At 49.7% G+C, this 11,559-nt stretch overlaps 2 long non-coding RNA genes across 4 annotated transcripts, besides 6 other annotated features; one reads left to right on the forward strand and one right to left on the reverse strand.

Moving 5' to 3' along the window:
• Positions 2,272–2,401: an enhancer, noted in NCBI's record as "active region_8131". NCBI's record gives its function as "activates an Ori minimal core promoter by ATAC-STARR-seq in GM12878 lymphoblastoid cells {active_cell/tissue: GM12878}" and the evidence as "EXISTENCE:reporter gene assay evidence [ECO:0000049][PMID:35858748]".
• Positions 2,982–3,081: an enhancer, noted in NCBI's record as "active region_8132". NCBI's record gives its function as "activates an Ori minimal core promoter by ATAC-STARR-seq in GM12878 lymphoblastoid cells {active_cell/tissue: GM12878}" and the evidence as "EXISTENCE:reporter gene assay evidence [ECO:0000049][PMID:35858748]".
• Positions 3,132–3,471: an enhancer, noted in NCBI's record as "active region_8133". NCBI's record gives its function as "activates an Ori minimal core promoter by ATAC-STARR-seq in GM12878 lymphoblastoid cells {active_cell/tissue: GM12878}" and the evidence as "EXISTENCE:reporter gene assay evidence [ECO:0000049][PMID:35858748]".
• On the reverse strand, positions 3,185–3,936 carry LINC02332 (long intergenic non-protein coding RNA 2332). The gene is made up of 3 exons (NR_146543.1): positions 3,825–3,936; positions 3,666–3,727; positions 3,185–3,396 (listed from the first exon to the last, which is right to left on the reverse strand). It is a non-coding gene; the product is annotated as a long intergenic non-protein coding RNA 2332 (long non-coding RNA).
• On the forward strand, positions 3,440–8,310 carry LOC105370399 (uncharacterized). 3 transcript variants are annotated; one of them, XR_007064065.1, is made up of 3 exons: positions 3,440–4,417; positions 5,601–5,807; positions 6,351–8,310. It is a non-coding gene; the product is annotated as an uncharacterized LOC105370399 (long non-coding RNA). The 3 variants fall into 3 exon arrangements; XR_007064066.1 differs by having other exon boundaries at positions 3,440–4,440; positions 5,601–8,310; XR_943590.3 differs by having other exon boundaries at positions 4,257–4,577; positions 5,601–8,310.
• Positions 3,582–3,631: a silencer, noted in NCBI's record as "silent region_5586". NCBI's record gives its function as "represses an Ori minimal core promoter by ATAC-STARR-seq in GM12878 lymphoblastoid cells {active_cell/tissue: GM12878}" and the evidence as "EXISTENCE:reporter gene assay evidence [ECO:0000049][PMID:35858748]".
• Positions 4,332–4,541: an enhancer, noted in NCBI's record as "active region_8134". NCBI's record gives its function as "activates an Ori minimal core promoter by ATAC-STARR-seq in GM12878 lymphoblastoid cells {active_cell/tissue: GM12878}" and the evidence as "EXISTENCE:reporter gene assay evidence [ECO:0000049][PMID:35858748]".
• Positions 8,785–8,864: an enhancer, noted in NCBI's record as "active region_8135". NCBI's record gives its function as "activates an Ori minimal core promoter by ATAC-STARR-seq in GM12878 lymphoblastoid cells {active_cell/tissue: GM12878}" and the evidence as "EXISTENCE:reporter gene assay evidence [ECO:0000049][PMID:35858748]".

An 11,559-nucleotide genomic window follows, 5' to 3' on the forward strand; every position in this document is an offset into this window, starting at 1 on the left:
AGTATCCCTTATCTGAAATGCTTGGTACTAGAAGTGTTCAGGTTTTGGATTTTTTTTTTTTTTTTTTGAGGCTGGGGGTGGAATATTAGCATTATACTTACCAATTCGGCATCCCTAATCTAAAAATCTGAAATCCAAGATGCCCCAGTGAGTGAGCATTTCCTTTGAGCATCATGTTGGCATTTAAAAAGTTTCAGATTTTGGAGCATTTCCAATTTCAGATTTTTGAATTAGGGATGCTTAACCTGTACCAGCTTTAATAGGTGACCTAGAGCACATCCCTCCCCTCTACAGGCTTATGTGTTGCCACTTACGAAATGTCGGGTAGGACTGGAGGCTACCTCCCACTCCCTGCACCTCTGATTCTGTGACCCCTGCAGAATTAAGAACCAGTGTCCCTTCTCCTGGTCAGCCCTACTGACGGGAGTCACAGAATCCCCAGTTCTTTCTAAGCTGCCCCATCTCTCACCTAAATACAATCCCCTTAAATAACACCAAAGGGAAAGGGCTCAGACCTCCATCACAGCAGGGTCACTCTCGCACGTGGTAGGACCATACCACCTTCACAAAGGCGGGGTTTGCCACCTTTGGGGAGCTCTGGGGGGCCTCTACCTCCTCACCAGTCTGACACAATGCCAGAGATTCCACCACTGGGAATTTCTTATAATTAAAGCATTCTCTTCCCTGTATTAAATGAAAATGCCCCTGGGAGAGTTAATAGAGCAAGCCTTTATCAACCATTAAAAACTGAGGGCCAGTTAGTTTCTCTTTCTTTTCCCCCTGAAGTGGTACTTCATTTTGTTTTATAGAAAAAAGATTCAGGCAAGGGAAGTGTGGGTGGCTGGGGAGGCAGGTCTGCTCCTTTGAGTTGGCTGCAGTGACATGGAAGTCACAGGGCTGAGGGAAGGAGACAAGAGCCTGGACAGCAGTGAAGGGGTCAAAGACAGACCCCTCCAAGAACCTCAGAGGAGACCCGGACTGCAGGAGACCTGCAGGAGGCCCGTGGGAGCCTGTGGAGGCCTGTGGAGGCCCGCGGGAGCCTGTGGAGGCCTGTGGAGGCCCGCGGGAGCCTGTGGAGGCCTGTGGAGGCCTGTGGAGGTCTGCGGGAGCCTGTGGAGGCCTGTGGAGGCCTGCGGGAGCCTGTGGAGGCCTGTGGAGGCCTGTGGAGGTCTGCGGGAGCCTGTGGAGGTCTGCGGGAGCCTGTGGAGGCCTGTGGAGGCCTGTGGAGGCCTGCGGGAGCCTGTGGAGGTCTGCGGGAGCCTGTGGAGGCCTGTGGAGGCCTGTGGAGGTCTGCGGGAGCCTGTGGAGGCCTGTGGAGGCCTGTGGAGGTCTGCGGGAGCCTGTGGAGGCCTGTGGAGGCCTGCCAGCCCAGTGCCCTCAGGCAGCAAAGCCCAGCAGTCACTGGTCCCCCAAGGCCGCCCACAGATCTATGCAAGGTGATGCAGCAGGGGCTATGGACCCACCCACACCCAAGCAGGGAGGCACGATGACAAGGCCCGGGCAGGTAGGGGGACATCCGGAAAGCAGGCTCAGCTCCACCCCTGAGAAATTTCCGTCTAAATCCAGGAGATCCTTGATTCAGCAAGAACCTTCCCTCATGTCCGAGGCTGTTAAACCTAAAGCCAGTTAGGGCAGAGGTCAGAGGGGTGGACCAGGAGCAAGTGGGTCGAGGGTGAGCAAGTGTTGGGAGTGGGGATAGAAACTCCATCCATCTCCGACTGCTCTGCTCGCATATCTGGCTCCAGGGCCCACCTGGTATGTCAGAGGGAATTAGAACGGCCTTGTGAGGAGGCTCAGGAGAAGGGCTCCTGTGCCCACCGGCCAAGTCAGCACTGGGCCTAACGCCACCACAGCAAAGCCCCTCAGTGCAGAGGGCCCAGCTATACGGAACTGGGCATTGCTTAGCCTGGAGGGAATAGGCAGCTGAGGAGACCTGGAAAACACAGTCATGAAGAGACTGGCCATGAAGACCCACAGACCCTGCGAGCCAAGGCCTTGGGCTGCAGCTGCAGCTGCAGCTCTACCAGCCTGGACCCAACCTCAGGCCGACATCCCAGCAGGGAACATGTTACTAAGGCCAGTTGTAGAAGGGACTTCTCTGGACACATGCCCTACTCTCCCAAAAGACTTAAGCACAGGCCAGTCCCAAAGGCAGAAGAATGGACTAAATGAGCTCTTGTGGCCCCAGCCCTAAGATTCTAGAGGACTCTCTGAAACTTCACTTGAAGACTTGACCTCTGAGTGCAACTGGAGTCACAGCCACTCAGGAGAAAGGGCAGGCTATGCAAGCACGTGCTTCAGGAGCATCCTGGTGAGGTCTTCAGCTCTGACAGAGCAACCCCTCTGCTGCTACCCTCACTGGGGGCAGCCATCTGAGTCTTAAGGAGTTGCTTATTTTTTAGGTCCAAACATAAAATTCAACTCCCCTGGGATCACGTATACAGACAGGCCTATAGCACCTTATTATCAGGTACCATCCTAGTGTGGAAGTCCCCTGGCCTGTGTGCTCTGTGGGATGGGAATGTCCCTTGTCATCAATGTGTCCCCAGGAACTAGAACAGTGCCTGGCACACAACAGATGCCGTTAAATGAATAAGTGAATGACTCCTGCAGTTAGGCTCTGGGTGGGGGGAGCTGAGTGTGAGGAGTGGGGAGTACAGGAGAAAGGAAAGTGGGGATTAGTAGAGGAAGTGGTCAGGTGAGTCAATGCTTCACAGTTTTGCCAAGAGCTAAAGTAACTTGTCAAGAACTTCAGAACAAGGAAAGCCTGAGTGGTGGCCCCTTGCTCAGGGCAGCCCCCAGGCAGGCACACATCTATCCAACAAAGCCTGGAGGACAGGGACTGTGGTAAATCACGCAGGGTACCTGGGAGTCTGACCTCACTGTGTGACCACACTGAGGTCCAGAGCCAACAGTCACTTTATGTGGGTTCGCCTCAGTTTCTCCATGAGTCCTACTCTAAAACCCATCTACCTCCGTGAGCCATGTGTGGGAAGACGAGCTTCTGACTGGGATGAGTCTGGGGGAGCAAGCACATGGAGACCCAGTGCTGTCATTCTGGCTGCCGGAAGGCTGCAGGACCACCAGCGCCCTGCGTCTGTGTCAAGGCCACCTGGGCAACGCGGCGAGGGGTGGGGAGTGCAGGCCTCCTTTCACACAGAGACACACAGGCCTGAGGCCTCTCTGGGTAGCACACATAGAGCTATATTTTGCAATTAATAAACAGGTCAGACATTGAGTCAGTAGCCACAAGTAGAACAGGAAGTGGAAAAAGTCTCCCACTTCCCTCCAGGTGTTTGGGGGCTGGGGCGGTCCCCTCCCATTTCCATGACGTCATGGTTACCAAGAGGGGCAAGTAGGGCACCCTTTGAAGCTCTCCCGCAGAAGCCACATCCTCTGGAAAGAAGAGTTTAAAATACTGAGTTAGAGATAGCATCGCCCCAGGCCACGTGCCGAGGGGAGCAGGCTGGGCCGTTACACCACCCCCCAACCGCAGGTGCAGCAAGGCCAACATGCCAGGCTGGGAGGGGCTGCCGGCCCCTCGGTGACTTGCACCGGGCCCGCAAGCAGGCTGGGGAGGTGCTGCTGGCCCCACCGCTGAGCCGCCTCCCTCACCGCACCTCTGCTGCCCCTCCAAACCAGCCAAGATCAGACCTTGATCTCACCTGATTAAGCGCTTGCTTAGTACAGGGCAGACCCTCGAGACTTATGCTCAGGCCAGTGTCTCCTGGGAGGGAAGGAGGTGGGGAGGCCGTATTTGCCCCCACACAGAGCTAGGGCTGATTCTCTGAGGGACCCCCCCCCAATAGCACCTCCCCCCTTACCCTGATGCTTGTCCATTAGGTGATGGCCCTAATGGACGCCTTGATGGACACGTCCGGGACCCAGGGACCCGGAGACCAGGAATCTGCTGGTCTCAGGGAGCCGCAGAACCTGAAACCCAAAAATACCAGGCTTGATCGCCTGCTCTTCGGTAGTGTCGCCATCCACCCGCATGGGGGCAGCAGCGCTCCACCAAAAAGACCTCTTCTCCCTTTGTCTGTTAATTCTGGAGATAGAAAGCCCCCAAAGTTTAGGAAAAGCTCTTTTCCGAGGAAAATAAAAGGGCAGGTGACTTTTATCCCACAAGTCCCTGCCCTGTGCCCGTCACTGCGCTGGGCGCAAGGCCTGTGTCATCCTGTCACATCCCCCCCCAAAGGAGAGGAGGGCCTGGGGCCTGGGCCGGCAGCAGGGGGCGCTGTTCGTCCGGGATCGTCAGACCCGCTCCACCCGGAGCCCTGGAGGAAGTGCCCAGGGAGGGCTGGGGGCCCGGAGGAGGCCTTGGGTTCGGAATTAGGCTGGCTGGAGTCCGGGATCCACCACATCATACACTCGTGCCTTTGGCAGGTCACTAACCGCCCACCGCCTCAGTTTCCCGGTGGGACGAACTCTCTCTCACAGGTAGTTTAAGAACCAGGCTTTCTTTGGCATTGTATACCTGCCATGTGCCAGGCTGTGTCGTGCTCTGGGGATTCAGTCTCTGTGCAAACTATGACTCCATACAGATGAAGTCCAAGAACAGGCAAAACGCATCACAGGTGATAGAAATTAGGGCACTGTTTGCCTCTGGGGTAGAAGGATGGATTGAAAAGGGGCACGAGGAAACCTTCAGGGGTGGTGGAAATGTTCCATATCTTTATCTTGGGTGATGGCTATATATATATCAAATGCATCATTAGTGTATTTTCATGTAATTATGCCTCAAGAAAGTACTGCTCCCATTAAATACACACACACACACACACACACACACACACAGAGTTTCTGTCTTCAAGGAGTTAACAGTCCAGTGAGTAGTGGGTATGAAAGAGATGTGTTAATGGCTGCAATTGCAAGACAGAGGCTTTTGTTACTATATTCTCCTCAGGCAGGAGTCCTCAGGCAGGAGGCAGGAGAACCAGTTGTTTGTCCCTAAGCGTCACTGCCCCTCACTAGCCTTCTCTCCTGGGGCCTTTAATTTTTCTGAGTCCCCATGTGTTATTATTCACATAGAGATAAAAATACCTGCCCACCTATTCTCAGTGTTGTTGAAGGGATTGAAAGCAGTAATGGGTGTGGAATGCTTAGTAAACTGAAATCCCAGTGCAAATATGAAGTGGGAATGCATCAGAATGCCCAGGAAGACGAACCATGACCCGAACAAGATGGGCTGGGCCAGGTCAGATGGCACTGCCATACTGAGAAAAAAGTGGGCTGGCTGCGGCTTCACACAGCCCGGGAGAGCTCAGAACTCCCCAGGCCCTGCCGGTGCGCTGGTGTTTCTCATAGTATGTGGCCACCTCTCCAGTCACTTCGGCCCTAGGAGCTTCTTGTTACACCATGATTTTGTCACTACCTCCGCAGCTTCCCACCTCCTGCTTCCGGCTTCCAGAAGGAAGCGCGTGATGGAGGGGAAATGACAGGGCCAGGAGGCAGCGGTCAGGCTGGGCCGAGTTTCTGACAGAAGCCAACACTTCTGGCCCCACAGTGCTCACGGCCTCCCTGACTCCTCACCACATCACAGCTGAAAAGGCTCACGTCTTATCTCCCCTCTCAACCTCTGGGGGCTTCTCTGCTTTCAGAAGGAGCCCCTGGAGCCCCTGGCCGAACACATCTGAAAGCACGGAGCCAGACCTCTGCAGCGCCCTCCAGCGGGCAGGTTCTGCGGGCAGCCATCTCCTCGCAGGCCAGAACACCCCACGTCACTCCAGGACGGTTCGCCACCTTTGAGAAGAGAGGACTCCAGTGTCTGTTCGCTCTGGAAATGTGGGCATGTTCCCATTCCAAAGGTGATAGGATCTGAGGGGAGGATCCTTCCCATTTTCAAAGCCTTCCTAAAATCCCACTGATTAGTGGGGAGGAGTGCAAGTCTACCCTTTCCCCGAACCACCCACATGAAATTTAGCAACAACAACAACAAAAAAGGAAAATATTAGAGGAAGATCATATAAGTGTAAGAAGACAAGGCTGGCAGGACCTAAGAGAGTCTAGGTAGATGAAGGAATATGGTTTACATAATGGGGAGCACCTGGTCTCCATTTCATGCTTCCAGCCTTGATGGGAGGAAAGTAGGTAAACCTTAAAAGGGACTTCTTTCCAGTGGAGGCTGCAAGATTCTATTTTTACCAACCTCTAAGGTGTCCACCTTATCCTTGCTGACCCAAGTTATTCCAGTGATTTACCAAGGGAAATGGGTGGAACGACATCCTTATCTGGACTCCTTATTAACAATATCCTACATCTGTACAACACCAAAGCAAACATCAACTCTTTTGATCAAAATGATAAACCCCAGTGGTAGACAGAGTATTCTCTCCTCTTTTACAAATCAGAAGGCACATGGAGCGGCTTGCACAGGATCACGGTGAACTAGGCCCTGATCCCCACCAGACTCGGATCCCAGGCTTTCCACCAAGCTCTGTGGACTCAGAAATACCAAGTGGTTCCAGATTCAGCCATCAGAGGAAGGAGCATGAATTGACTGGCATTCCCAGGCCCCCTAAGACTAAGTGTCTTGTTTCCTGCCTCCGTGGCCCTTCCCTCTTCCTGACTCTGCCTGCATGGATTTGATCCCCCTTCAGGATGAGATCAGAATGGCAAGGCAGAGCTCTGTACCTTTAGGAGGCACTCCCTCAATAAATATTTGATGTTGCCGGGCACGGTGGCTCACGCCTGTAATCCCAGCACTTTGGGAAGCCAAGGCGGGCAGATCACTTGAGGTCAGGAGTTCAAGACTAGCCTGGCAAACATGGTGAAACCCCATCTCTAGTAAAAATACAAAAAATTAGCTGGGCATGGTGGCGGGCGCCTGTAATCCCAGCTACTAGGGAGGCTGAGGCAGGAGAATTGCTTGAACCCAGGAAGTGGAGATTGCAGTGAGCCGAGATCGCGCCATTGCACTCCAGCCTGGGCAACAGAGCAAGACTCCATCTAAAAAAAAAAAAAATTGATGTTTGTGGCCTCAAGGCAATACTTATCCACTACTCAAGCATATGCCAATGGGGATAACTAATATCCAGACACACTCCCCATGGCTGGTCCCTTCGCTGACTCTTTCTTAGCTGTCAGATCTCAGCCTAAAGGTCACCTGGTCAGAGAGGTCCTTCCTAACCACCCTAAGCAGCTCCCTCCCCAGCCCCATTTACTGTCACATTATATTGTTTACTGTTTCTTTCCTTCACTCCACTCACAACAAAATTATTTCATTTATGTAATAATTTGGCTCTCTTCCCTACTGGAATTTAAGGCTCAGAAAGTGAGGCGTCTTGTCCGTTCTGTTCATTTCTGTAGCACTTAACTCATGGTAAGCAAAAATTTAAAGGAAGGAGTAATAACAGAAAGAATGAGCTCTGCCATCAGATGCCCCTTATTTATACCCTGACACTAGATTGGGGTTAAATGTTGACAATCATTGAAGCTGTTAGACATATGGGAGCTTGCTGGCCTCTTGACGTGCATGTATACGCACGCATGAGGGAAAATTTCAATTAAAAGTTAAAAACAAAGTTGTTTATCCCTGGGATTTAACAGGCCTGAATAGCAGGTCTCAAACGGGGCTCCTAGGGAGGTCTCTCCGCTTCTCCCAGGAAGAGCCAGGCCTGCCATTGGTCACCACAGTGCTTTAGCTGAGAGTCAGTGAAACGGATGTGCAGCTGAGGGAGAAAAGCAGTATGTCATGGAACCCTCAGAGCTTCTGGTGAGCACTGAAAGGAATGATACATTTGTAGAGCAATTACATTCAGATATTTTCACTTAACGTTTTGTTGGGATAACCGCAGTATGAAGTATTATTATCCCCATGCTGAGTTTATGACTTATCTCATTCAAAGCGTAACCCAAACGCTTTCAGCTAGACAGAAATAAGATTCAAGCCTAACACTTGCTGAGTCTCCATTTCCTCATCAGGAAGATAAGAATGCCACCCACCTCCTTCATGCAATGATAGGGAAACGCAAGTAACAGGAGGGCGCTTAACAGTTTGCCAGACATGTGGCCCACGCTCGCTCACTCCTGGACAGGATAGGGCTGTGTCTTATCTTTTCTAATGCCATGCACTACCTAGCACAGAGCCTAAGTGTGTAATTATTTGCTAAATTTTAGCGACAAAAGGTCAACAGACAGTAAGTGGCAGAACAAGTCCTTGAATCAACACTTTCAGATCAAAGTGTTTTCCGCAACACCAGGCTGCCTCTCTGGTGGTTTGAAAATACTTTTTAAAAATCCCATTGACAGAACTTGGACCTACCTATAAAATCAATGTAAGCAAATAAAATACTTTGTTTAGTCCTTCTTCATAAGCTTCCTCCCACTTTTTTCCTACTCTCTCCTCTAAGATCCTTGTTCTAGAAAGTGTTTTCTCCCACAGGAGAAATCTATTTTTTATATTTGTTAAAAACTTTTAAATTAACCGTAGTTATTAAGTCATTTCACACACAAACTTTTATTACAGACGCCCAGAGCTGAGCTGCAACCCAACAAGATAGGAGAGCAGCAGAGTCTCCCGCTAAGTTTGCAAACAAGCTCCCTGGCCTCTATAACCTCCAACACCAGGGAGCACGCCTCTGTGACCTCCCCAAGTATTTTCTAGCCATCACAACAAAAGTGTTTTGAAGCCCAAGATGAAATGATGTGATCACAAGAGGCCGAAGGTATAGGCTGCTAAGAGAAGAAAACAAGAGAGATGGTTTCCATGTGATAGGGGCCAGGAAATGTGTGGGCAGGAGGTGCTCAGGGCTGGGCTTCCCACCACTGCAAAGAATGGCAGGGAATAGACTTTCCACAGTGTTTGTGGTGAATGGCTTCCGGCCCCATAAAAGAGCACAGAAAATAAAAATAAACCACCCCATAGAGGTGTTGAGCAAGGGGGAGCAGGAAATGCTAGGGTCTACCTCACTCTCCATGCAGTAGTACTCAAAATCAACTCCTTCAACATACTTCAGCTGAAAAAACACCTAAGAATCAGAAACGCAATGGGGCTTGGGGGTGTGTCTTTAAGTTCAAGACAGGGTCTTGTTCTGTTGCCCAGACTGAAGCGCAGTGGTGCAATCATGCAGTCTCTACCTCCTGGGATCAAGTGACTCTCCAAACTCAGCCTCCCGAGTAGCTGGGACTACAGAGGTGCACTGCCACGCCCAGCTAATTTTTTTAATTTTTGTAGAGACAGGGACTCACTGTGTTGCCCAGGCTGGTCTTGAACTCCTGGGTTCAAGCCATTCTTCCACCTTGGCCTCCCAAAGTTCTGGGATTACAGGTGTAAGCCACTGAGCACCTGGCGCTTTTTCAGTGTTGTCTTTTTTTTTTTTCTTTTTGTGATGAAGTTTCGCTTCTGTTGCCCAGGGTGGAGTGCAATGGCACAATCTCGGCTCACTGCAACCTCCGCCTACCAGGTTCTAGCAATTCTCCTGTCTCAGACTCCTGAGTAGCTGGGATTACAGGCTCATGCCACCACGCCTGGCTAATTTTTGTATTTTTAGTAGAGACAGGGTTTCATCATATTGGTCAGGCTGGTCTCCTGACCTCAGGTGATCCACCCACCTCGGCCTCCCAAAGTGCTGGGATTTACAGGCATGAACCACCATGCCTGGCCTCTTTTAAGAACAGGGTCTTACATTGTTGCCCAGGCTGGAGTGCAGCGGCTACTCACAGGTCCACAGCTAATTCTTCAGTACATGTCAAATTGAGAACCATAAAGCAAATCAACAGAAGCATAAAAACAAGAGTTACCTATAATGAGCCTTTAACTAAATCTAATCCCAACACTCCAAAAGCAGTCTGTAGGTTTTAGCCCCGAAGCAAATATTGAAAAGACACACCAAAGAAGAATGTTTCCTGTTGATGGTAACTGGCTTGGGTAAATCACAACCTCTGAGACAATAGCTGACCTGGTAAATGGGAATTTAATACCTGTCCCATGTATCTCAAGATCATTATGAAAAATTAAACAAAACCTATGTATTAAAGACTGCAATTACAATGTCTTCCTTCATAAAATTACTATTATTCCCAGTTTTCAACCCGTGTCTCAAAGTCCAGATGCTTTTCTTATTCAAAATTCCAATTTCTCTAGACTAAAAATTATCCAGAAGCCTCCTGATAGGGTCTGTGACATCTGTATATAAGTTTTAGAACAGATTAGGCCAGGCACAGTGGCTCACGCCTATAATCCCAGCACTTTGGGAGGCTGAGGCGGGCAGATCACCTGAGGTCAGGAGTTTGAGACCAGCCTGACCAACATGGAGAAACCCTGTCTCTACTAAAAATACAAAAATTAGCCGGGCATGTTGGTGTGCACCTATAATCCCAGCTACTCGGGAGGCTGGGGTGGGAGAATTGCTTGAACCCAGGAGGCGGAGGTTGCAGTGAGCCGAGATCACACCATTGCACTCCAGCCTGGGTAACGAGAGCAAAACTCCATCTCACAAAAACAAAAAAGAAAAAAAAAAGTGCAGATTAAACTGCTCAGTTATAATCTCAATGAACTAGTATCACTTAAGAATGGCAAACCATGACCCACATAGCCACAACCAATTTTTATAAATAAAGTGATAGTGGAATATAGCCATGCCCATTTGTTTAAGGAAAAGCTTGCGGACTCCTGACTCAGTGTGTTACCAGTTAGGCAGAGAGCTAATAAGAAACATACAGGCCCAAGCTTTTCACCAAGTTCCTAGGTAATCTTGAGACATGCCAAACTTTGAGAACCACTGCTGTAGATGAGAGATTCTCAAATCTTATTGTGCACATAAATCACCGGAGGACCTTGTTAAAATGAAGATGTTGCTTCTGTAGGTTTGGGGTGAGGCCTGTGCTCCCAGGCGATGCCAATACTGGTAGTCAATGACTACATTTTGAGTAGCAAGAATCCAGAGCAGTGTTTCTCCAATTTGCTGTGCTCTGGAATCACCTGGGTAGCTTTACAAACTACAGAAGCCACCCCAAGAGATTTTTACTTAATTGGTGTGGGTTGTGGCCTGGACGTTGGGATTTTCTTTTTACATTACCCAAGTCATGCTAACGTGCAGCCAAGTTGGAGAAGCTTGAAACTCATCATTCTCGGTAGTTGGCTAAATTTAAGTAGTGGCATTCTCAACATAGCTTCCGCCCCATATATAGCAACCCAACAGCACCCAAGATGAAAACAGGGCTGCGAACATGACAGACTTCAGCCAGCAGACCTACATTCCATCCAAGCTTTGTCATGAACTCTGATCTTAAGCAAGTCACAAATCTGAGTTTCAATTTCTTCACCTAACTAATGAGGACAGGAACCCCTAAGATAATTGCAAGAATAAAATGAGAGAATATTTGTGAAGGTGCTTTGGAAAATATTGTATCTTATAAGTCAACACATACATAACCCCCATTTTTCACTCTGTCTACATTGCCTAAGAGAAATATATTTCACTTTTACCACTAAAACATGTTGAAACAGATGTAAATGTGGTAGCACATACTTAGTTCAATTTCTAGCAGAGTGCATAATGATGCAGTTCCAGGAATGCACTGTCATAAGAGTGGAAGCACCTGTAACAATCGAAGGAT

This window comes from Homo sapiens, chromosome 14 (genome assembly GCF_000001405.40).
Source record: "Homo sapiens chromosome 14, GRCh38.p14 Primary Assembly".
Taxonomy (NCBI): domain Eukaryota; kingdom Metazoa; phylum Chordata; class Mammalia; order Primates; family Hominidae; genus Homo; species Homo sapiens.